The sequence below is a fragment of the Homo sapiens genome, chromosome 19 (assembly GCF_000001405.40).
Source record: "Homo sapiens chromosome 19, GRCh38.p14 Primary Assembly".
Taxonomy (NCBI): Eukaryota; Metazoa; Chordata; class Mammalia; order Primates; family Hominidae; genus Homo; species Homo sapiens.
Genome location: NC_000019.10, coordinates 13,610,831 through 13,637,584, shown reverse-complemented (window position 1 = coordinate 13,637,584; position 26,754 = coordinate 13,610,831). Strand labels below are relative to the sequence as shown.

Sequence of the window (26,754 nt, the reverse complement as noted above, 5' to 3'; positions counted from 1 at the left end):
TCCTGAGTAGCTGAGATTACAGGCATGCATCACCATGCCTGGCTCATTTTTGTATTTTTTGTAGAGACGGGGTTTCACCATGTTGGCCTGGCTGGTCTTGAACTCCTGACCTCAGGTGATCTTCCCACCTTGGCCTCCCAAAGTGCTGGGATTATAGGCGTGAGCCACTGAGCCTGGCCCCGACAAAGACTTTTATACATGGATGTTCATAGCAGCTTTATTCATGTTAGCCAAATACTAGAAACAAACCATATGCCCATTCACAAGAGAGAGGACAAACAGTGGTCCACCCATACACTGGAGTATAATAGAAAGGAACAGATTCTGATGAAAAGATCAGAAGGATGCATCTCACAAGTGTGGAGTGAAAGGAGCCAATCACAAAAGAGGACAGACTGTATGATTGTATGATTCCATTTCTTTTTCTTTTTTTTTTTTTTTATTTTCTTTCTTTTTTTTTTTTTTTTGAGACAAGGTCTCGCTCTGTCACCCAGGCTAGAGTGCAGCGGCATGATCTTGGCTCACTGCAACCTCCGCCTCCCAGGTTCAAGTGATTCTCCTGCCTCAGTCTCCCGAGAAGCTGGGACTACAGGCGCCCGCCACCATGCCTGGCTAATTTTTGTATTTTTAGTAGAGACGGGGTTTCCCCATGTTGGCCAGGCTGGTCTTGAACTCCTGAACTTGTGATCCACCCGCCTTGGCCTCCCAAAGTGCTGGGATGACAGGTGTGAGCCACCATGCTCGGCCCATTTCTTTTCTTTTTCTTTGGAGAGAGGGTCTTTCTCTGTCACCCAGGCTAGAGTGCAGTGGTGCGATCATAACTCACTGCAGCCTTAATCTCCTGTGCTCAAGTTATCCTCTCTCCTCAGCATCTCGAGTAGCTGGGACTACAGGTGCATACCACCACCCGCAGCTAATTTTTTTGGATTTTTGGTAGAGACAATGTCTCACTATGTTGTTCAGGCTGGACTTGAACCCCTGAGCTCAAGCAATCCTACTGCCTGGGCCTCCCAAAGTGCTGAGATTACAGGCATGGACCACTGCCCCTGGTGTGATTCTGTTTCTATACAATTATAGAATAGGCAAGTTGAATCTAAAGTGACAGACAGATCAGTGGTCGCCTGGGGGACGGGAATGGAGGCATTGGCCACAAAGGGGCATGGGGGCATTTTGGGAGTGATGGAAATGTTCTAAATCTTTGGCGGTTATGTGTTGTACACATTAGTCAAAACCTGCAAACTGTACACTGAAGATGGGTGCACTTTTTTTTTTTTGAGACAGAGCCTCCCTCTATCACCCAGGCTGGAGTGCAGTGGCACAATCTCAGCTCACTGCACTCTCCGCCTCCCGGGTTCAAGTGATTCTCGTGCCTCAGCCTCCCAAATAGCTGGGATTACAGGTGCACACCACCATGGCCGGCTAATTTTTGTATTTTTAGTAGAGACAGGGTTTCACCATGTTGGCCAGGCTGGTCTCGATCTCCTGACTTCAAGTAATCCACCTGCCTCAGCTTCCCAAAGTTCTGGGATTACAGGCATGAGCCACCGTGCTCAAACATTTTTTAAGAGACAGGGTCTTACTCTGTCACCCAGGCTGGAGTGCAGTGGCAGGATTGCAGCTTCCTGCAGTCTTCAACTTCTGGGCTTAAGCAGTCCTCCTGCCTCAGCCTCCTGAGTCCTTGGGATTACAGATGTAAGCCACTGCAGCCAGCTCAGGTACATTTTATTGTACTAATTTATATCTTTTTTTTTTTTTTTGAGATGGAGTCTTGCTGTGTTGCCCAGGCTGGAGTGCGGTCATGTGATCTCAGCTCACTGCAACCTCTGCCTCCTGGGTTCAAGTGATTCTCCTGCCTCAGCCTCCTGAGTAGCTGGGATTACAGGATAGCACCACTACTCCTGGCTAATTTTTGTATTTTTGGTAGAAATGGGGTTTTGCCGTGTTGGCCAGGCTGGTCTTGAACTCCTGACCTCAGGTGATTCGCCTGCCTTGGCCTCCCAAAGTGCTGGGATTACTGGCATGAGTTACTGTGCCTGGCTTGTAATTTATATCTTAGCAAAATTGACGACAGTGTTACATGATACCTAGTGTCACTCACTGATTTATCTGCAGGCTTTTCTCCGTGTTTCCTACACCCCTGGACTCCCCCTGGAAGTCTTTAGCACATCTTTTCCTAGCCGGACGGTTTTTTCAGGACCCACTCTGTGCCAGAAACTGTTTTAAATGCCTCCCTTTTTCATAATCATTTCATCAAGATTATTTGTCCATTCAAGGTTCTTAGCCTGTTTTACAGGGAGACTGAGACTCAGATTAAGTTACCATTATGGGTTGAATTATGTCTTTGAAAGCTCATAAGTTGAGCTGGGCATGGTAGCACACACCTGTAATCCCAGCTACTCGGGAGGCTGAGGTGGGAGGACTGCTTGAGTTCAGGAGTTTGAGGCTGCAGTGAGCTATGACTGCGCCACTGCACTCCAGCCTGGGTGACAGAGCCAGGCCTCGTGTCTTAAAAAAAAGTTCATAAGTTGAAGTCCTAACTTCTAGTACCCTAGAATGTGACTTTATTTGGAACTTGGGTCATTAGAGACATAATTCATTAAGATGAGGTCACTGGGGTGGGCCTAGTCTTAGTTCGTTCCTGCTGCTATAACAAAATACCAGAGAATGGGTAATTTGTAAACAACAGATATTTATTGCTTATGGTCCTAGAGGCTGGGAAGTCCAAGATCAAGGCACCAGCAGATTCAGTGTCTGGTGAGGGCTTGTCCTCCGCCTTCGAGATGGTATCTTGTTGTTGTGTTTTTACGTGGCAGAAGAACAAAAGGGCAGCCAGGCATGGTGGCTCGTGCCTTTAATGCCAGCACTTTGGGAGGCAGAGGCAGGAGGATCACTTGAGCCCAGGAGTTCAAGACCAGCCCGGACAACATAGCAATACCCTGTCTCAAAAAAAGTTTTGTTTTGTTTTTTTTTTTTAAAGAACAGATGGGCAGCCGGGCATGGTGGCTCACGCCTGTAATCCCAGCACTTTGGGAGGCCGAGGCGGGCGGATCACGAGGTCAGGATATCGAGACGATCCTGACCAACATAGTGACACCCCATCTCTACTAAAAATACAAAAATTAGCCAAGCATGGTGGCGCATGCCTGTAATCCCAGCTACTCGGGAGGTGGAGACAGGAGAATCCCTTGAACCAGAGAGTTGGAGGTTGCCGTGAGCCAAGATCACGCCACAGCACTCTAGCCTGGCAACAGAGGGAGACTCCGTCTCAAAAAAAAAAAAAAAAAAAAAAAAAAAAAAAAAAAAAAAGAACAGATGGGCCAAAGGCCCTAGCTAGTTCCCTCAGGCCCTTTTTTAAGGTACTAATCCCATTCAGAGGGGCAGAGTCCTCCGGACTTAATCACCTCTAAAGGCCCCACTGCTTAACACTATTGCATGGGTCTTAGGGTCCAACATTTCAATTTGGGTGCACACATGCATTCAAACCCTGGCAATCCCTAATCCAATATGACTGGTATCCTCATAGAAGGAGGAGAATTTTGAACATAGGCAGTGGACACACACACACACACACACGCGCGCGCGCGAAGGAAGGAAGGAAGGAAAAGAGAGAGACAGAAGAAGGAAGGAAGGAGAAGAGAGAGAGACAGAGGAAGGAAGGAAGGAAAAGAGAGAGAGGAAGGAAGGAAAGAAGGAAGGAAAAGAGACAGAAGAAGGAAGGAAAAAGAGAGAGGAAGGAAGGAAGGAAAGAAGGAATGGAGGAAGGAAAAGAGAGAGAGACAGAGGAAGGAAGGAAGGAAAAGAGAGAAAGAGAGGAAGGAAGGAAGGAAAGAAGGAAAGAAAGAAGGAAAAGAGAGACAGAGGAAGGAAGAAAAGAAGGAAGGAAAAGAGAGAGACAGAGGAAGGAAGGAAGGAAAAGAGAGAGAGAGACAGAGAGGAAGGAAGGAAGGAAAGAAGGAAGGAAGGAAGGAAAGGAAGAGAGACCATGGCACCAGGAAGTGATAAAGTTGGGGTCTGAGCACAGAAGGATTCGATTTCAGAGCCTGTGTGTCTTCTTGCAGTTTAAACAATTGGCTCACACAGGCAAGGAGAGTGTACACTTTATCTCACATATTATTTCTTGGTTTCCTGCATCCTAATTGTCCTTCTGTCACTGTTAATGCATAACTAGACTTTGCCCAGGATATGCAAGCAACGATTTTCTTGCCTGGGCCAATGGCAAAGGCATTCATTCTGCTGATGGTAGATGGTGTCAAATTTCCCAGTAGCGCTCTGTGTGCGGGGCTCAGCTGTTGGGCTCAGAGAGAGACCTCTGCCCCCATGGAGGGCATTATATGTTTGGCCAGCTGCCTGCTCTCTGGGCCAAGAGAAATACGATCAGAACATAAACAGTATAGTAACAGCACTCCACCCACAGCGGGACTGGCTCAAAACCAGATGTCACGAGGAACATAAATGCATAAATGGGATTGTCCTTGAGGCTTACTGGAGGCTTCCCTGGAAAATCAATTTTCCCTTTTGTATCTGTTTCCTTTGGTAGCCAGAGAAGGAAAAAGGAATCAGATCAGCCAAGCAGGCTGCTGAGAAAGATGACCTGAATTGCAGGGATGCAGAAAGTGCTGAAGATGCTTTGTCAGCTGAGAACTGGTTAAGAGAAAGTGGGTAAAGTCCATTTTTCCTTCCAGCTCTACTCTTCCTCACCTTCTACCCTCTTCTGTTCCTGAGGCTGACCCCAAAAGACAACATCATTGGGCTCTGTTGCCCACTGGCTTTTGGTTGGCTCAGCCAATGGGAGTTACTCACAGATGAAAAGTGAGAGAAGGTGCGATGGCTCATGCCTGTAATCCCAGCACTTTGGGAGGCTGAGCGGGGAGCATTGCTTGAGGCCGGGAATTTGTGACCAGCCTGGGCAGCATAGGGAGACTCCATCTCTCCAAAGAAAGAAAAAGAAAAGAAAGAGAAAAAAAAAAAAAGGAAGGAAGGAGAGAGAGAGGGAAGGGAGGGAGGGAGGAAGGAAGGAAGAATTAGCTGAGTATGGTGGCACATACTTGTAGTGCCAGTTACTTGGGAGGCTGAGGCAGGAGGATTACTTGAGCCCAGGAGGTCGAGGCTGCAGTGAGCTATGATCCTGTCACTGCACTCCAGCCTGGGTGACAGAGCAGAAAAAAAAAAAAAAGTGGGAGAAGGGTGAGGTTGAGGGAATTTATCTTATTTATTTATTATTTATTTATTTATTTATTTATTTGAGACGTAGTCGTCTCACTTTGTCAACCAGACTGGAGTGCAGTGGCGTGATCTCAGCTCACCGCAACCTCCACCTCCTGGGTTCAAGTGATTCTCCCTGCCTCAGCTTCCCGAGTAGCTGGGATTACAGGCACCTGACACCACACCCGGATAATTTTTGTATTTTTTGTAGAGACAGAGTTTCACCATGGTGGCCAGGCTGGTCTCAAGCTCCTGACCTAAAGAGATCCACACACCTCGATCTCCCAAAGTGTTGGGATTATAGGCATGAGCCACCGCGCCCGGCCAGTTAAGGGAATTTAAATTTATTTCCTTGGCTTCCTCTGTTTCAGGTTGCTATGGGTTGTGTGCGTCCCTCTTTCAGGCTGCCTTTTCTGCACAATTCTCCCTGTGTCTGTGGAGCCTAGAACCTTCTCTTCTTCACCCCTTCAGGTGTGGGTGGTAACAGCTTCCTGTAGTTGCTGTTGCATTATCCAACCGATCCAGCCTTTGCTGTAAATATATTTTATTAAATGCTTCTCAGATTACCCAGTTTGAATGTGCCCTCTGTTTTTTGCATGGGCCCTTGGAGGTAAGTGAGGTAGTATTCTCTGCCTCGTTCCTGGACTGGCTGACCAAGGCCCTCCCAGTTTTCTAACTGGATCAACACATGACATTGCTTTCTAAATGGTTTTGCTTCCAGCATCTTTTCTTTCTTTTCTTTTCTTTCTTTTTTTTGAGATGGAGTCTTGCTCTGTTGCCCAGGCTAGAGTGCAGTGGCATGATCTTGGCTCACTGCAAGCTCCGCCTTCCGGGCTCACACCATTCTCCTGCCTCAGCCTCCCAAGTAGCTGGGACTACAGGTGCCCACCACCACACCCGGCTAATTTTTTGTAGTTTTTAGTAGAGACGGGGTTTCACTGTGTTAGCCAGGATGGTCTCAATCTCCCGATCTCGTGATCCGCCCGCCTCAGCCTCCCAAAGTGCTGGGATTACAGGCGTAAGCCACCGCGCCTGGCTTTTTTTTTTTTTTTTTTTTTTTTTTGAGACAGAGTCTCGCTCTGTAGCCCACCTGGAGTGCAGTGGCGCAAACTCGGCTCACTAAAACCTCTGCCTCCTGGGTTCAAGTGATTCTCCTACCTCGGCCTTCCGAGTAGCTGGATTACAGGTGTGTGCCACCACACCCGGCTAATTTTTTGTATTTTTAGTAGAGACGGGGTTTCACCATGTTACCCAGGATGGTCTCCATCTCCTGACCTCGTGATCCACCCACCTTGGCCTCCCAAAGTGCTGGGATTACAGGCATGAGCCACTGTGCCTGGCCTTTTTTTTTTTTTTTTTTTTTTTTTTTTTTTTTGAAGGCAGAGTTGAAAAACCAATTGGAATCATAGAGAAGGTGCCCAGACTTTGGCTACTGGACAGAAGTTCCTTTTTTTTTTTTTTTTTTTTTTTTTTTTTTTAGACAGGGTCTCCCTCTGTCACCTAGGCTGGAGTGCAGTGGGGCAATCTCAGCTCACTGCAACCTCTGCCTCCCGGGTTCAAGCAATTCTCCAGCCTCAGCCTCCCAAGTAGCTGGATTACAGGCGTGTGCCACCGCACTTGGCTAATTTTTTGTGCTTTTATTAGAGATGGGGTTTCACCGTGTTGGCCAGGCTGGTCTCTAGCTCCTGACCTCCCAAGTGCTGGGATTATAGGCATGAACGAACATGGTAAAACCCCGCCTCTACTAAAAATACAAAAAATAACGAGCCGGGCATGGTGGCCCTAGCCTGTAATTCCAGCTACTCAGGAGGCTGAGGCACGAAATGGAGATATCTCCCCTTCTTCTGCTTTTTTGTTCTATCCTTGCCCTCAGTGGATTGGAAGATACTCACTGCATCGAGGAGGCTGAATCTTCTTTACTCAGTCTACAGATTCAAACACGAATCTCTTCTAAAAACACAGACACATCCAGAAATAAGGTGTAACTAGCTATCTGGGTATCTCTTAACCCAGTCAAGCTGACCCCAAATTAACCATCACAGCTGCATCATACATGACCCCAAAACTTAGTGGCTTAAAGCAATAGTCATTTATTCCCCATGCACATGTGTACCAGCTGGGTTTGGCTGATCTGGCTGGGGCTCAGCTGGGTGACTCCTCTGCTCCACGTGTCCCTCCTCTTCCTCCTGGGACAGTTGTTTCCGTGGTGGGAGCAGAGGTGCAAGAGGGCAGGCAGAAACACATGTGGCTTCTGAATCCTGGTTTGGAACTCACTCCTTGCCATTTCTGCCCACCTACCATTGACTGAAGCAAGTCACGTGGCCAAGCCTAAGGCCAAGCCATGGAGAAGTACCCACCACCCATGATGAGACCATCGCAAAGATAGGCACACAGGAGAGAGTGACTCATCAGGGCCAATCATTCAATCTATTCATGGTCACCAACTCTGGCAAAAAACACAAGAGTTTAAAAGATGGTTGACTCAGGATGGTCTCATTTGCGTAAGAGGAAAAGTAGAACTTTTTGACATTTTCAAAGGACTTCTAAGGAAACCAGGATGACTATTTATGTTGATCACGAAGTGACTCATACAAGTCATGTGATTTAAAAACAGGAAAATTCAATGCTAATTGCATAGACTTATGACTCCCTGCATAATAATGACAGCTTATGTGACATAGCATTTTTGAGTTCACGAGGCACTTTAATAACCACGTCTTATGTTATACTAGGAACAAATTTCTCCTTTTTTTTTTTTTTTTTTTTTTGAGACAGAGTCTCACCCTGTCACCCAGGCTGGAGTATAGCAGCGTGATCTCGGCTCACTGCAACCTCCGCCTCCCAGGTTCAACCGATTCTCCTGTCTCAGCCTCCAGAATAGCTGGGATTCCAGGCGCGCACCACCATGCCTGGCTAATTTTTTGTAGTTTTAGTAAAGACAGGGTTTCACCATGTTGGCCAGGCTGGTCTCAAACTCCTGACCTCAGGGAATCCACCTGCCTTGGCCTCCGAAAGTGCTGGGATTACACGCATGAGCCAACGGACCTGGCCAAGCCTAGGATTTTTATTATCTGGCCTTTTACCAAAAAAAAAAAAAAGAAAAAAAGTATGATGTCTCTTGACATGCATGATCTCACGTTTTAATTAAATAAATTTTTAAATCAACAAGTAAAAATTGTATATATACTTATGGATGTTTTGATATATATACATACATTATACAATGGCTAAATCAAGCTATTTAACATATGCATTAACTCATATAATCCATATCGTACTCACATGGTTTAAAATTCCCTAAATATAAAAAAATAAGCAGAGAAAAGCGGACCCCTATGATTGATTTTCATGTGTCTTTCAGAGATGGTTTTTGTCTTAGCCCTCTTTCTGTTGCTTATAACAGAATACCTGAAACTGGGCTGGGCATGGTGGTTGACTCCTGTAATCCCAGCACTTTGGGAGGCCAAGGTGGGAGGACTGCTTGAGCCTAGGAGTTTGAGACCAGCCTGGGCAACACGGCAAAACCCTATCTCTATAAAACATTTAAAAAATCAGCTGGGCAGAGTGGCGCACGCCTGTAGTCCCGGCTACTCGGGAGGCTGAAGTGGGAGGATCACTTGAGCCAGAGATGTTGAGGCTGCAGTGAGCCATGATCGCGCCACTGCACTCCAGCTTGGGTGACAGAGCAAGACTCTGTCTCATTTAAAAAAAAAGTATACCTGAAACTGGGTAATTTATAAAGAAAAGGAGTTAATTTCTTCCAGTTACGGAGGCTGAGAAGTTCAAGGTCAAGAGGCCAAATCTGAGGAGGAGCTCCTTGTTGGTGGGGATTCTGCAGAGTCCCAAGTCGGTGCAGGGGATGGCATGGTGAGGAGCTGAGTGTGCAAGCTCAGGTTTCTCTTCCTCTTCTCCTCTCCTCTCCTCTCCTTTCCTCTCTTTCTTTTTAAAATAGACACAGGGGTCTCACTATGTTGCCCAGGCTGGTCTCAAGCTTCAGGTCTCTCTTCCTTTTCCCCTTCCCTCTCCTCCTCTCCCCTCCCCTCTTCTCCCCTCCCCTCTCCTCTCCTTTTAAAAATAGAGACAGGGGTCTCACTATGTTGCCCAGGCTGGTCTCAAACTTCTGTCCTCAAGCAATCCTCCTGCCTTGGCTTTCAAAAGTGCTGGGATTACAAGCATGAGTCACTGCCCCCGGCTCATCTTTCTCTTTTCATAAGGCCACCAGTCCCACTTCCATAACAACCCCTTAATCCATTAGCCCATTAATTCATTAATCCATAAATGAATCAGTCCATTCATGAGGGCTGTCATGACCCAGTCACCTTGTAAAGGTCCCACCTCCCAGTACTGCCATACTGGGGATTCAATTTCAACATGAATTTTAGCAGGGACAAACAGCCAAACCATAACAGTTTTAGAAGCAAATATTATTTTCTTGTTGTTCCTTTTTAACACGATCTCATTTAATGCTCACAAAATCCCCACCAGGTATGAAGGATTAGCCTGGTTTTACTGATGTGGAGATGAAGCTTGGGCAGGGTCCCAGGCTGGCAGGGTGGATTGAGTCCTTTTGTTCTCCAGGCCGAGGGACCCCAGGGCTGGCTTCTTCTCTACACTCCAGTGTAGGTGACGGACCTGGAGGCCTCCTGGCCTGGGGAAAATCCCACCAGCTTTGCTTTGAGTTGCTTCCCATCCTAGTGGCTCCCCAGCTGCTGAACTACGGGCTGGACTCACCCACATAGAAATCCCCCAATCTGGTTTTTTTTTTTTTTTTTTTTTTTTTGAGATGGAGTTTCGCTCTTCTTGCCCAGGCTGGAGCGCAGTGGTGCAATCTTGGCTCACTGCAACCTCTGCTTCCTGGGTTCAAGTGATTCTCTTGCTTCAGCTTCCCAAGTAGCTGGGATTACAGGCATGCACCACCATGCCCGGCTAGTTTTTTGTATTTAGTAGAGACCGGGTTTCACCATGTTGGTCAGGCTGGTCTCAAACTCCTGACCTCAGGTGATCCACCCACCTCGGCCTCTCAAAGTGCTGGGATTACAGCCGTGAGCCACTGTGTCCAGCCAAAATTGTCTGTTGGTCTAAACCCACTGACATGGGCTGCATTCTTCTTAATCCACACTTCCCAGACGTCTCTTTAAAATAGAAAATTTCAATAAAATAAAATAAAATAAAAACAAAAAAGAAAAGAAAAGGAAACAAAACAAATATAGAAAATTACTAGCCTGGGCAATATAGCGAGACCCCATCTCTACAAAAAATCAAAAAAATTAGCTGGACATGGTGTCGTGAGCCTATAGTACCAGCCACTCAGAAGGCTGAGGCGGGAGGATTGCTTGAGCCCAGGAGGTTTGGGCTGCAGTGAGCCATGATTGTACCACTGCACTCCATCCTGGGCATCAGAATGAGATCTTGTCTCAAAAACAGAAACAAAATTTCAAATATACACAAAGTAGAGAAGTAGAGAGAATACAATGAAAAAAATACAGCAAATCCCCAAGGCCCTATCACCCAGCTTCTCCAATTAGCAATTCCCTCCCTTCCCCTCCCCTCCCCTCCCTCCCCGCTTCCCACCTCCCAGTACTGCCATATTGGGGATTCAATTTCAACATGAATTTTACCGGGGACAAACAGCCAAACCATAACAGTTTTAGAAGCAAATATTATTTTCTTGTTCCCTTCCCTTCCCTCCCCTCCCCTCCCCCCTTCCCTCCCCTCCTCTCCCCTCCCTTCCCTTCCCATTCTTTCCCCCTTCCCTTCCCCTTCCCCTTTCCCTTCCCCCTTCCCTTTCCCCTTCCTTTCCCTTCCCTTCCACAAGGTCTTGCTCTGTCGCCCAGGCTGGAGTGCAATGGCATGATCATAGCTCACCGCAGCCTCAACTTCCCAGGCTCAGGTGATTCTCCCACCTCAACCTCTCAGGTAGCTGGGAACTCAGGCACGCATTTTTGTATTTTTTTGTAGAGACAGGTTTTTGCCATGTTGCCAAGGCTAGTCTCTAACTCCTGGGCTCAAGCGATTCTCTTGCCTCAGCCTCCCAAAGTGCTGGGATTACAGGCATGAGCCACCCTCGTGCGTGGCCAATTAGCAGTTTTCTGCTCTTCGGGTGTATCTTTTCCCTTCTTTTCTGGTGGGATTTTTTTTTTAAGTAGAGGTGAAATTCACATAACATAAACTTAACTATTTTAAAATGCTATTCTGGCCAGGTGCGGTGGCTCACTCTTGTAATCCCAGTATTTTGGGAGGCCGAGGCAGGCAATTACTTGAGGTCAGGAGCTTGAGACCAGCCTGGCCAACATGGTGAAACCTCGTCTCTACTAAAAATACAAAAATTAGCCGGGCATGGGGGAGGGCGCCTGTAATCCCAGCTACTCGGGAGGCTGAGGCAGGAGAATTGCTTGAACCCAGGAGGCGGAGGTTGCATTGAGCTAAGATTGCCCCACTGCACTCCAGCCTGGGCGACAGAGCAAGACTCTGTCTCAAAAATAAATAAATAAGTAAATAAATAAATAATAAAATAAAATGCAATTCCATAGCACATTCACGATGTTGTGAAAACCATCACCTTTATCTAGTTCCAGAACATTTTCATGACCCCGAAAGGAAACCCCATCCCTGACAGCAATCACTCCACATTCCCTCTCCACCTGCCCCTGCCAATCACTCACCTGATTTCCATCTCTATGGATCTGCCTACTCTGGACAATTTGCATAAATGGAATCCTACACCATGTGGTCTTTTGTGTCTGCCTTCTTTCACTCAACATCATGTTTTTGGGGTTCATCCACGTTGCAGCACGGATCAGTGCTTCATTCCGTTTCATGGCTGAATAATATTCCATTGCATAGCTATGCCATATTTTATTTATGTGGTGCTGTTTCCTGGAGTTTTTAAAAAAGCAAATCCAGGTATCATATCACCTTATCCATAAATACTTCCATATGCATCTCTAACAGACAAACACTTTTAAAGAACACCATAACCAAATACCACCAACAGTCCTTACAAAACTCACATGAATTCTTTAAAATCCCCTGACACCCAGTCAGGTTCGATTTTCCCCACCTGTCTAAATGCTGCTTTGTTCTTAATGAGGTAGATTCTCCCCATTTTGGCTCAGCCTTGGGAAAAATACGGAGATTCTCTGTGCCCTTGATGCTGCTGCTGCTTCTTCTTTTTTTTTTTTTTTTTTTAAATGAGACAGAGTTTCTCTCTTGTTGCCCAGGTTGGAGTGCAATGGCACAATCTCAGCTAACTGCAGCCTCCGCCTCCCAGGTTCAAGCGATTCTCCTGCCTCAGCCTCCTGAGTAGCTGGGATTACAGGCACCTGGCTAATTTTTGTATTTTTAGTAGAGACAGGGTTTTGCCATGTTGGCCAAGCTGGTCTCAAACTCCTGACCTCAGGTGATCCACCCGCCTTGGCCTCCCAAAGTGTTGGGATTACGGGCATGAGCCACCGCACCGGCCTCTTGATGCTTCTTATAGGAAAAACAAAACCCCTATCTTTAACAGGAGGCCCCTTTGAAAAGAGACATGGGATTACCCTAGTTTTGAGAGCATAAGTCTACACAGATTGCAAACAAACTTACCAAGTTGTAATGGATTGGTGTTTTGCATGAAAGGACTCAACTTTCCTTTTCCTGCCTTTCTTCTTTAATAATACAACCCCTCTGCCTAAGGGAGGAGATCAGGGTACTGGGAAGCTGTTTCCAGAATGAACACGACAGACTCAGAGAGGAGGCTAGCAGCTGTCCTCTAATTATCATTTTTCTAAGAGCATAAATAATTTAGGTTGCAATGTGGCGGAGTGGAGATGGTTAAATTATAACACGATTCCATATCCCTGCTGCCTGATGCCTATTCTACACGCCCCCTCCCCGGACCCCCGACAGGAACCAGTGGAAGAGAGAGAATACTCTTCTTACCACCGTTCCTCTGCTCTTTAAGGGAAGCCCGAACGGGGGGAAAAAGTCTCCTTTTTGAGACAACAGTTTTGCCCTGTGCTGGGAGGTCCCAGTGCGGTGTTAAGGGGCATAGAGAAGAGAGCAAGAAATCGTGAATTATTTTTCCCCCTGAGGAGCAGTGGCCTGGCTTGTTCTCAGCTTCTGCCTTGCCTGGATTGATCTCCCCAGGCTGGGTCCCCGTGTAGCACTTAGCTAAAGATGATCAGCAGCTGAGAACGATCGGTCCTCCTTTCCCTCCTCCCAGCATCAGGGAAACCTCCTCCTCCTCTTTTTTTTTTTCCCTTGGCAGCTGATACAGCAACCCCGTTCAGTGTCTGCTTTTGTGGGGAGCCCTCTGCTCAGAAAACTGCTCTTCTTGGCACCCACTTTTCTCCCTCCTGTCTCTGGGCCACCCTTCTTCTTTCCACTGGGTGGGCCATGGATGCATGGACTTCAGATAGCTCGGACCCCTGGGTGCTGACGAGATGGGACCCTCGGGACCCCTGGAGGACTCGCAGTGCTGACCACTAGCCGCGTCGCCTGAGCCCCAGCGCTGATGCGATACAGGTGAGTGGGGCTTCTGAGAGCGGGGGACGCTGGAGGCAAAGTCCTGCAGGGAGTTTAATCTTTCTTTCCTTGCTGCAAATTACCTCCATCTGCAAAGGTAGAAATACAAAGATCTTCCCCTGCTCCCTCTATGAAGAGTTTTTCTTTGCGGGCGGGCAGCTTATTTCCAGATTTCACTTGCTTCTGCCTTAAGAACCTCTTCCCTTTTCTGAACAGTTTCTCTTGCTGGGAAGAAGGGGGGCAGACTCTTCATTTCCAGCGTATTCCTGTTTCTTTCTTAAAAATCCATTTTCATTCAATTGCCCTTGGCAACCCCCCTCCCAGCAACCGATGTCTTTGCCATCTGCCCTGAACATGTGACGTTTTCCCAAGAATGAGAATTTCTGACCTAAGTCAAATTCTACTTTTTTATATCTTCCCCACCCCCCCTCATTCAAGTCCACATTTTAAGTCTCGTGCTGCTTTGAACAAGTGACAACATTTAGAATTATGAAATATCCCCTCACCGCTCCCCACCCCCCAATTGCCCATGGCTTTGGGGACCCCGAACAAAAGTTCCCGACGCCTGTGTGCCTGGGCCTTGTTTGCTGTGATCGACGCGGCGTGAATGTGTTGGGAAAAGAGAGATAAATGGCAGATGGAGTTTAGGCTGTTGGGAATAATTACATCGTCTTAGGAAACCACTTCTTCCTTTTAATATTTAATATTCTTCCCTCTCTTGCCCCACTTGAAGGAAAAGCAGAGAAAGAGCTGGACACCCCCTCTAAGCCATTCCCCCCTTGCCCCTTCCGCCTTTTTTCTTTAATTTTGAACCGAGTTGTCTGGGTGGCTTTTGTTTCTCAATAAGTGGGAAAAACTGGCAGCAGAATTCCTCTTCTCCCCTCTCCTTCCTTTGAAGCTAACAGCTTCGTACAACAGACGCTGCTGGGGACGGCAGGGCATGGGGATCATGTTGATTGCTCCAGGCTCCTTCCTTAGAGGCTCCTGAGAGACTGACCCAGGAGAAGGAGCCAATTTAGAATGTCAACAGGAGGTCAGAGCACCTTCCCAGAGGCTGAACCAACAAGAGGGAAGCTTCTCTCTCTCCTCCTTCTCCTCAAAGCCCTAGGTGCTGTGGAGGAATATTCTCTAGGTATCCCTGGCTCAGGGCTCCTGTCCTGTTCAGAGACAGTGACTCTAGGGCAGCCTTGCCGTGTCCTGCACCTGCTCTTTCAGGGATAGCCTTCAGTTGCTTGCAGGGATCTCAGGTGCTTACAGCTGACACAGACCTCCCCTTACCCATGTGACCCCTAGTCCATCCTCAACACCCCAATACCAGGCTGCAGGAAGTCTCCCCAACTACAGAAGTCTAAGAGGCTGAGTTTATCCCTGTGTGGATACTCCATTTTCCTCCAAGACACAGAGATCTCAGGAGATGTATCAAGATGTCACTCGGTGGCCGGGCGCAGTGACTCATGCCTGTAATCCCAGCAGTTTGGGAGGCCGAGGTGGACGGATCACTTGAGGTCAGGAGACCGAGACCATCCTGGCTAACATGGTGAAACCCCATCTCTACTAAAAATGCAAAACATTTGCCGGGCGTGGTGGCAGGCGCATGTAGTCCCAGTTACTCAGGAGACTGAGGCAGGAGAATTGCTTGAACCCGGGAGGCGGAGGTGGCAGTGAGCCGAGATCATGCCATCACACTCCAGCTGGGGCGACAGAGCGAGACTCCGTCTCAAAAAAAAAAAAAAAAGTCACTCGGTGCAAATGCCACTTTCCCTCCACATAAGATGGGTTCAATTCAATGCAGCCTCCCCAAAAAGAAAACAGAAGATCATTACAGGGGTCAGGAGGGAGAGGGTGGATTTGACACTGAGTGAAATTACTGAGCAAATGACCTGTAAAACTCGTGGACATCAAAAGCTCTGGCAGAGGGTTTCATTTATTATTATTATTATTTAAAATGTTAGGGCATAGGACCAGAGGGCCCTCTGGGCCCAGGGCAAATGAGGGAGCTTCTATTCCAGGATCCTTCAACCCTAGCTGTCTCCACAGTGACAGACAGACGAACGCTCTGGGTAAGCATTTTCCACCCCCTTATAGGCCAAGTTTGTCCAGTGGACGAGGGAGGACTGACTTAGCCTCCGGGGAAGAAATCCTCCCCTCAAAGTGCAGGTCTTGGCCAGTCCCAGGCTCCACTCAGCCCTGCTGAGTTAGAATCTGCATTTGAACTTGAGGCTGGGTGAGTCATGAGCCAGTCAGCATCTGAGAAGCCCTGGAGGCCACATACTCATTGGCGTGTGACCCAGGGGAGCCACTCAGCCCTCTGTGCCTCAGTGCCCCCTGCTGACTGCAAGGATGACGATGGCGTCTGTGTCTTAGCATTGCTGAGAAGCCCAGCCACAGGTGATACCCAGTGGCAGGCACCTAGTACGTGCTCACTAAATGTTGGCTACTTTCAAATTACTCTCCAGAGCATGTGTTTGATTTATTTTTATTTTTTATTTATTTATTTTTGAGACAGAGTCTTATTCTGTCACCTAGGCCGGAGTGCAGTGGTGCAATCTTGACTTACTGCAACCTCCGTCTCCTAGGTTCAAGCCATTCTTCTGCCTCAACTTTCCAAGTAGCTGGGATTACAGGCACCCGCCACCATGCCTGGCTAATTTTTGTATTTTTAGCAGAGACGGGGTTTCACCATCTTGGCCAGGCTGGTCTTGAACTCCTGACCTCGGGTGATCCACCCACCTCGGCCTCCCAAAGTGCTTGGATTACAGGTGTGAGCTAACACACCCAGCCAATTTCTTTTTAAATTATGGTAAAAAAACACATAGAGCATACCATTTTAACTATTTGATTGATTGACTGATTGATTGAGACAGGGTCTCACTCAACGCCCAGGCTGGAGTGCAGTAGCCCGATCTCGGCTCACTATAACCTCAACCTCCAGGGCTCAGGTGATCCTCCCACATCAGCCTCTCGAGTAGCTGGTACCACAGGCGTGCGCCACCACACTCAGCTAATTTTTTATGTATTTTTGTAGAGATGAGGTTTTGCCGTGTTGCCCAGGCTGGTCTTGAACTCCTGGGCTCAAGCAATCCACCCGCCTCAGCCTCCCAAAGTACTGGGATTACAGGCGTGAGCCACCATGCCCGGTCTCTGATTTCTTTTTTAGTTCACATTTCTTTCTTCTTCCTGTACCACTTGTCTTACCCTCCATGAAATCGTCCTGGTCAGACATGAGTAACAGAACCCTACTAGTTAGTATGGACCCTACTAACTCATACATTAATTCTTAGCTACCAACACCAAAATCTTGAAGATGGTAGGCAGACACCATCTTCAAACATCTTTTTTCAGGACTCAACTCAAGGGCTACTCACTTTTTTTCCCCAAAGGGACTACAACTTTTGGTGTACAGTTATTTTTCTCTCCAGCAAAACCAACACTACATTTTCTTTTGACCCCCCAAGGGGAGGCAGGTTTTGTTTTGTTTTTGAGACGGAGTCTCGCTCTGTTGCCCAGGCTGGAGTACAGTGGCGTGAACTCGGCTCACTGCAACCTCCACCTCCTGAATTCAAGTGATTCTCCTGCCTCAGCCTCCTGAGTAGCTGAGTACAGGTGCATGCCACCACACCCAGCTCATTTTTTATATTTTTGGTAGAGACAGGGTTTCATCATGTTGGCCAGGCTGGTCTCGGACTCCTGACCTCAGGTGATCCGCCTGCCTTGGCCTCCCAAAGTATTGGGATTATAGGCGTGAGTTATGGTGCCTGGCCGGGAGGCAGTTTTTAGGTGATTTCTCTAGAGTCTTAAGATCCCAAGATGAATGATAATTGGATCACAGTGGTACACAGTTGGTAGTTAATAAATATTTGTTGAACAAACAAAGCATATCAGAATTCAAAATGACCACTGAGGGCTGGGCACGGTGGCTCACGCCTGTAATCCCAGAGCTTTGGGAGGCCAAGGTGGGAGGATTGCTTGAGTTTGGGAGTTTAAAACTAGCCTGGGCAACAGAGCAAGATCTCGTTTCTATAAAAAATTTTAAAATTAGCCAGGCATGGTGGCCAATGTCTGTGGTCCCAGCTCTCGGGAGGCTGAGGTGGGAGGATCGCTTGAGCCCAGGAGTTAGAGGTTGCAGGGAGTTCTGATTGTGTCACTGCACCCCAGCCTGGGCAACAGAGCAAGACCCTGTATCTAAAAAAAAAAAAAGCCAGAAAATGACCTCCATAATGAATTATTGCTTTAACATGTTAATATGTTGATGACACACACAGACACTGTCTGGCCAAAGAGGCAGGATAAATGAGGGACATGGTGAAACACCTACCAGTTGCTCAATATTGAGGAGTCAAGAATACCTAATCAGGAAAAAAATTCAAGGAGATAGAATAAAAGCAACATTACCCACCCACTCCTGCCCAAGAATGACTTAAGAGAACAGATGCATGGTTTAGTTTGTGGGAGAAACATTAGAGAAATACAGTCCCTGTGGGAGGAGTTTTATTTTTTTCCTGGTACTCTGTACTGTTTCCTTTTAGTTCTCCAATGCTGATGAAGTCAAGCAAGTTTGTGAGAGAGACAGAGAGAGAGAGAGAGAGAGAGAGAGAGAAGGTGGACAGGGGATGACACATGGTGCTAAGTGTCCAGGTATTTGGTTCAGTTTCAGTATTGACCTGATGCCACTGGTTTTGCCTTGCTTGGACAAGAGGAATAATTGATCCACCTTCTTCCTTCCTTCCTTCCCTTCCTTCCCTTCCTTCCCTTCCTTCCTTCCTTCCTTCCTTCCTTCCTTCCTTTCTTCCGTCCCTCCCTCCCTCCCTTCCTTCCCTCCCTCCCTTCCCTCCCTCCCTCCCTTCTCCTTCCTCCCTCCCTTCTCCTTCCTCCCTCCCTCCTTTCCTTCCTACCTTCCTACCTTCCTTCCTTCCTTCTTTCCTTCCTTCCTTCCTTCCTTCCTTCCTTCCTTCCGTCCCTCCCTCCCTCCCTCCCTTCCTTCCCTCCCTCCCTTCTCCTTCCTCCCTCCCTCCTTTCCTTCCTTCCTTCCTTCTTTCCTTTCTTTTTATTTCTTTCTTTCATCCTTCCCTCCTCCTTCTCTCTCTTTCTTCCATCTTTCTTTCTTCTTCCCTCCTTCCTTCTCTCTCTCTCTCTCTCTCTCTCTCTGTCTCTGTCTTTCTTTGTCTGGCTCTGTCACCCAGGCTGGAATGCAATGGCTTGATCATAGCTCACTGCAGCCTCAACCTCCAGGGCTCAAGTGAACCTTCTACTTCGGTCTCCCTCGTAGCTGGGACTACAGGTGTGTACCACTGCACCTGGCTAATTTATTATTTTGTTGTTGTTGTTGAGATAGGGGGTCTCCCTATGTCGCCCAGGCTGGTCTTAAACTCCTGGCCTCAAGCAATCCTCTGGCTTCAGCCTCCCAAATTGCTGGGATTACAGAGGTGAGCCACCGCACCTGGCAATCTGCCTTTCAGCAATTATTTATTGAGTTCTTCCTGTTGGCCAGGCACTGTGCTAGGCTTTGAGGATTCAACAGAGAATGAAACTATCATTGTAAACACAGTAATAACAGTAGCAAACACTCATATTGGGGCTTACCATGTGTGGGACACTGTCCTGGGCATGCTGCATAGAATTAAGTTATTTCATCCTCACAATGACACTGTGAAGGATGTGTTTTTATTATCCCCATTTTACAGATGAGGAAACTGGCCCAGAGAGGTGGAGCGATTTACCCAAGGTCACATAGCAGGAGGCAGCTGATCCTGAATCCAAGCCCAAGCAGTCTGGTTGCAAAGATGGGGATATTTCTCTACCAACTCCTGGCAGCAGCCATTGGTTGAGGAATATTCCAGGGGTAGCACCTGTGACCTGTCCCCTGCAGATGGGCTTCACTCCTGCGGCCAGAGGAGCCCCAGGTCGGGAGCGGCAGGTGCTAGGGGCAGGGAGCCATGGGCAGACAGGAGGTGTGGGCACTGGTAGGATTTTCTAGAAGAGGCTTGTGAAGCAGAAATGTATTTTGAGCTGGACCTTGGGGATGAGGAGAGGGAAAGGTATTCAGGGTGGTGAAAGTCAGAGGTGTGGTCAGGATTGTCTCAGAGCATCAGCTTCATGTAGTGAGAAGTGAGGATGGAAGGAATTCTGGGGCTACATCGTGGCACATATATGGGGCTGGCGAAAGGACTCACACTTTATTCAGCTGGTTGTGGAAAGAGTCTCTACGGGATTGGCTAATGGATGAACTGATTGCTTTTTTTTGTTGTTGTTGTTGGCTTTTTTTGTTTGTTTGTTTTTGTTTTTTGAGATGGAGTTTCACTCTTGTTGCCCAGGCTGGAGTGCAGTAGTGCAATCTCAGCTCACTGCAACCTCCGCCTCCCGGGTTCAAGTGATTCTCCTGCCTCAGCCTCCCAAGTAGCTGGGATTACAGGTGTCTGCCACCACACCCAGCTAATTTTGTATTTTTAGTAGAGATGGGGTTTCACCATGTTGGTCAGGCTGGTCTCGAACTCTTGACCTCAAATGATCCACCTGCCTTGGCCTCCCAAAGTGCTGGGATTACAGGCATGAGCCACCGCGCCTGGCCAGGACTCACACTTTATTCAGCTGGCTGTGGGGAGTCTTTAGGGGACTGGCTAATGGATGAACTGATTGTTTATGATGACTTGGAGGAGACGAGATTCAGAGAGGAATGAATGTGGCCTACGGCAAGTGGGAGGGGAAGGACAAGGCGGAGTCATCAGCTCTGATGATGAGTAGAATGTGGAAGTGAAGGAAAGAGAGAAGGAAGGAACCCCACAATGTCTGGGGTGATTGATTCCACTGCATTTGGGGTTTCTTGCAAATGTGACCTCCAGAGGGCTCCCATGAATACCTGAGTCAGGCCACATCCCTCATCTCCTTAGATCCTTTCATAGCTCCCACCTCATGCAGAGCAAAAGCCAAAGTTCTCCCTATGGCCCACAAGACCCTGTACCATCTGTTCCCCTTATCTCCCTGCCCTTACCTCCTGGCCCCGTTACCTCCCTGCCCTCACCTTCTGGCCCCCTCACTCACTCTGCTCCAGCCACACTGGCCTCTGTGCCGTTCCTTGAACACATCAGCCACACGGCCAGCCATAGCGCCTTTGCAAGGGCCTTTTCCTCTGCCTTGGAATGCTCTTCCCACAGACACCCTCATGCATCCTCCCTCATCCTCATCTCCCTTCAGGTCTTTACTCAAATATTTCTTTCTCAGTGAGGCCATTCTGGCCACTTTACCTAAATGACAGTCAGCTTCCCCTTCCCCCTCCTCCTCTACCGTTTTCTTTTCTCTATCTGACATTCTGTCTATTTCAGGAGCTTTTCCTGTTTCTTGTTCATCTCCTTTATTAGAACGCCAGCTCCAGGAGGGACTTTTGTCTGTGTTATTCATGTCTTAGTCCTCAGTGTTGAGAACAGTGCCTGGAATACAGTAGGTGCTCAATAAATATTGCTGGATGAATGAATGAATGATGAATGGATGCATGAGTGATGGGGAGGATAACAGAGCCACGAAGTGAAGTTGGGAGGAAGAATTTAGCCTGAGATTCAGCCCAACAGCCTGTACCCCTGGGGGTCTCCTCCCCTCCTTCCCCCGTCCTGCAGCCTCACTCAGTGTCCTGGGGCTGCCCAACCATCCAGCAATCCCGGGTGATCTGTTCATCTCTGTGGGAGGGTGCGTGTTTATCTCACCGCACCATGATCACACCGTCCAGCTGGTGAAGAAAAAAGTGGGTGGAACACGAGACCAGCTGTGACATGGTTTATTCTCACCAGGGGATGAACACTTGCAGCCACACTTGGGGCTATGCTGGCTTGCTGGTCTCAGCTTGCGTTCAACCTTGGCCATCTGGCCTGGCGTTTTATTTAGCTTTGTTCTCACGTATGTGGGGCAGTTCTGGAGTTTTGCCCCAAGTGATGAGAGCTCTTCTTGGCCCCAGCTTTACTTTTTCTTTCATCTTGCTGGTTGCTTGTCTATGCAAAGATAGGGGGGAGGGGGTCCACCCTGCCCGAGATGGGGAAGCTTCTGGTTGTGGCCAGAAGGAGCATAAACACCCTTGTATATGCCCATATCTAACTATTGATGCTATCTCTACTTGTTGGTGCCTATATCCATTTATTGATGCCTATATCTACCTGTTGATGCCTATATCCACTTATTGGTGCCTATATCCATTTATTGATGTCTATATCCTCTTATTGGGCCTGTAGCTACTTATTGATACCTATACCCACCTATTGGTGCCTATATTCAGTTACTGATGCCTACATCTACTTATTGATGCCTATATCTACTTATTGGCACCTGCGGCTACTTATTGATGCTTATGCCTACTTATTGAGCCCTATATCCACTTATTCCTGCCTATATCTAGTTACTGGTGCCTATGTCTATTTATTGAGGGCTATATCTACTTATTGGTGCCTATATCCACTTATTGATGCCTATATCTACTTATTGATGTCTATATTCACTTATTGATGCCTATATCCACTTATTGATGCCTATATCCACTTATTGTTGCCTATATCTACTTATTGATGCCTATATCCACTTATTGATGCCTATATCTACTTATAGGTGCCTGTGGCTACTTATTGACACTTATGCCTACTTATTGACGCTTATGCCTACTTATTGAGGCCTGTATCCACTTATTCATGCCTATATCTAGTTACTGGTGCCTATGTTTATTTATTGAGGCCTATATCTACTTATTGGTACCTATGTCTACTTATTGGTTCCTATATCCATGTATTGGTGCCTATATCCATTTATTGATGTTTATATCCTCTTATTGGTGTCTGCAGCTACTTATTGATGTCTATAACCACTCGTTGGTGCCTATATTCACTTAATGTGCCTATATCTACTTATTGATGCCTGTATCTATTTACTGATGCCTATATCCACTTATTGGTGTCTGTAGCTACTTATTGATGCTTATGCCTACTTATTGGTGTTTATATCTACTTATTGGTGCCTATGTCCATTTATTGGTGCCTATATCCACTTATTGGTGTCTATATCTACTTATTGGGGTCTACATCTTTTTTTGTTTTTGAGACACAGTCTCGCTGTGTGCAGTGGTTTGATCCCTGCTCACTGCAGCCTCCACCTCCTGGGTTCAAGTGATTCTCCTGCCTCAGTCTCCCAAGTAGCTGGCACTACAGGTGTGTGCCACCATGCTTGGCTAACTTTTTTTGTTTGCATTTTTAGTAGAGATGGGGTTCCACCATATTGCCTGAGCTGGTCTCAAACTCCTGAGCTCAGGCAATCTGCCTCCCTCAGCCTCCTAAAGTGCTGGGATTACAGGTATAAGCTACCACGCCTGGCCATGCCTACATCTATTGATTCATGCCTCTATTCACTTATTGGTGCTTATACCCACTTATTGGTGCCTATATCCACGTATTGATACCTGTATTCATTTATTAATTTTTTTTTTTGAGACAGAGTCTCACTCCGTCACCCAGGCTGGCATGCAATGGCATGATCTCAGCTCACTGCAACCTCTGCCTGCTGGGTTCAAGCAATTCTCCTGGCTCAGCCTCCTGAGTAGCTGAGATTACAGGCTACGCGCCACCACGCCTGACTAATTTTTGTATTTTTAGTAGAGACGGGGTTTCACCACGTTGGCCAGGCTGGTCTCGAACTCCTGACCTCAAGTGATCTGTCCGCCTTGGTCTCCCAACATGCTGGGATCACAGGCATGAACCACCACGCCCGGCCAGAATTTCCTCCCTCTCTAAGCCTGAATAACTTCTCATTGTGCGTGTGCACCACCCACATCTTTTTTTTTTTTTTTTTTTTTTTTTTTTTTTTTTTTTTTTGAGATGAAGTCTCGCTCTTGTCCCCCAGGCTGGAGAGCAATGGTGCGATCTTGGCTCACTGCAACCTCCGCCTCCCAGGTTCAAGTCATTCTCCTGCCTCAGCCTCCCGAGTAGCTGGGGTTACAGGCATGCACAACCATGCCCAGCTAATTTTTGTATTTTTAGTAGAGATGGAGTTTCACCATGTTGGCTAGGCTGGTCTCGAACGCCTGACCTCAGGTGATCCACCCACCTCGGTCTCCCAACGTGCTGGGATTGCAGACGTGAGCCACCGTGCCACATCTCTTTGTTTATCCATCCTGCCATCGACGCACATTTGGGTTGTTCCCTGGTTCTGAGTTTTCAATTCTAGGAAGATCCTTAGCAGTTGCTCCACACCTGGCTGCCTACCATGGAGAGTGTTTGTTCAGGGCCTGGAAACCGCTTTTACTATCAGCCAAATAAAACATCATCCGGAAGGTGACAAATGCATCTGAAGGTCGATTACAAATGACATTTAGATGATCTTCATCCCAGCGCCTCCTTAGTAGCTGTTAGAATCCACGGTCTGCTGAATTTCACACTCTCTAGCCTAGAACTTGGGAGGGAAGATCATGCCCCTGGGTCTTAGCAACCCTAGTTTTGTCCAGGGCTGGATTAAGGTGTTTTATTGATGGAGCTCTTAGCACACAGAGAAAGACAGGATCAAATGACAAGTGAAAGAAAGAGGATCAAGGCCAGAGAGAGAGCGAGAGAGAGAGAGAACAAGAGAGAGGAGGGGAGGAGATGTGATTTCAAACATAGATGTTGTTTTTAAGCTGCTTTTTAAAAATATATTTATTAAAAAAATTTTTTTAAGACAGTCTTATTCTGTTGCCCAGGCTGCAATGCAGGGGCACAATCTCGACTCACTGTAAACTCTGCCTCCCAGGCTCAAGCGATTCTTGTGCTTCGGCCTCTCGGGTAGCTGGGATTATAGGTGCCCGCCACCACACCTGGCTAATTTTTGTATTTTGTATTTTTAGTAGAGACAGAGTTTCACCATGTTGGCCAGGCTGGTCTTGAAATCCTGGTCCCAAGTGATCTGCCTGCCTCGGCCTCCCAAAGTGTTTAAGCTGCTTTTAAAGGAACACTTCTGTGCTCTCAACCAGGACTCCACACCTGCGTATATTCCACTCGAAGGCAAACCCCACGAAGTGCTGGGATTACAGGTGTGAGCCACCTCGCCCAGTCTTACACTCTTTGACAGAGCAATTCCACCTCTGGGGATTTATTCTGCAGAGATATTTGTAGCAGAACCTGAAGATCTACAATGCAGGACGTTGGCTGCAACATTCTGGGGAATAGCAAGAAATCAGAAAGACCCAGAGGTCCAGACCAGATAAATTTGATGGAGTCATTGAAAAATACTATCGAAAGCTGGGTATGGTGGTGTGTGCCTGTAATCTCAGCTACTTGGGAGGCTGAGGCAGGAGGATTGCTTGAGCCCTAGGAGGTTGAGGCTGCAGTGAGCTATGATCGTGCCACTGTACCCCAGCCTGGGTGACGTAGCAAGACCCCATCTCAAAACAACATAAAAATAAACTACAGGAACTGATGTGGAATATTTGTAAGAAACATTCCTATAGGAACTGATGTGGAATGTTATCTAAGACATATTACTAAGTATAAAAAAGTTGTAGACTTTTAATATATATGTATGTATGTATATACACATATATAATCTCACAAATTCCATGTTTGTAAAAAATTATTCTACATGTATGTAACTGCCTATTAATTTTTCTATTGCTGCCATACCAAATTACCACCAAATAAATGCCTTAACCACACTCAGTGGGCCGGGGGTGGTGGCTCACACCTGTAATCCCAGCACTTTGGGAGGCCAAGGTGGGCGGATCACCTGACGTCAGGAGTTCAAGACTGGCCTGGCCAGCGTGGTGAAACCCCGTGTCTACTAAAAATACAAAAATTAACAGGGCATGGTGGCAGGTGCCTGTACTTCCAGCTACTCTGGAGGCTAAGGCATGAGAATTGCTTGAACTCAGGAAGTGGAGGTTGTAGTGAGCTGAGATTGCACCACTGCACTCCAGCCTGGACGACAGAGTGAGATTCCATCTCAAACAAAACAAAACAAAACAAAACAAAACAAAACAAAACAAAACAAACCACTCACTTATTATCTCACAGTTTCTATAGGTCAGAAAGCCAACAGGCCTGGCTGGGCTGAAATCAAAGTGTTGCTTGGCTGTGCTTCCTTCCAGAGGCTCTAGGGAAGAATCTGTTTTCTTGTTCATTTAAGTTGTTGGCAGAATCCAGTTTCATGCTGTGTAGGACTGGAGTCCTGTTTCCTTGCTTGCTGTCAGCAGGGGGTCATTCTCAGCTTCCAGGGGTGGCCTGCATTCCCTGGCTCGTGGCCTCCTTCATCTCACAGCCAGCAACAGTGTTTCAAGTCCATCTCTTGTACTTTATTTTAAGAGACAGGGCCTTGCTCTGTCACCCAGGCTGGAGTGCAGAGGTGAGATCACAGCTCACTGCAGCCTCAACTTCCCCGGCTCAAGTGATTCTCCCACCTTGGCCTCTCATTTTTAGTTTTTAAATTTTCCTCCAAGATGGGTGGAAAAAGACATTTTCCCACACCAGAGAATAAAAGAAGAGCTTGTAAGATTACAGTCCAGCCCCTCCCTGGCTCTATATTGAATTCTTTAGACAAAGGACATATTGGGGCTTCCTGAGCTCCCATCTCCTTCCAAGGAGCATCTTTCCTCTTCCTTTTTTTTCTTTTTTTTAAGAGTCAGGGTCTCACTCTGTCACCCCAGCAAAAGCGCAGTGGTGCAATCATAGCTCACTGCAGCCTTGACCTCCTGGGCTCAAGTGGTCCTCTGGCCTCAGCCTCCCGAGTAGCTAGGACTACAGGCACACACCATGATGCCTGGCTCCAGCATCACATGCTTTTCCAATGTGTATGATGAACCCGCAAAGTTTCAGAGAATGTTTTTCCTCTACTTTTAAAAATTAAGGGGCCGGGCACGGTGGCTCACGCCTGTAATCCCGGCACTTTGGGAGGCCGAGGTGGGTGGATCATGAGGTCAGGAGTTCAAGACCAGCCTGGCCAAGATGGTGAAACCCCGTCTCCACTAAAAATACAAAAAAATTAGCCGGGCATGGTGGCATGTGCCTGTAATCCCAGCTACTCCGGAGGCTGAGGCAGAGAATTGCTTAAACCTGGATGGGC

General features: G+C 47.4%; 1 annotated feature.

The window, feature by feature from the left end:
* Window positions 15,470–16,191: an enhancer, noted in NCBI's record as "NANOG-H3K4me1 hESC enhancer chr19:13732208-13732929 (GRCh37/hg19 assembly coordinates)". NCBI's record gives its function as "activates a minimal SCP1, AML or CMV promoter by ChIP-STARR-seq in primed H9 embryonic stem cells {active_cell/tissue: H9 hESC(primed)}" and the evidence as "EXISTENCE:reporter gene assay evidence [ECO:0000049][PMID:30033119]".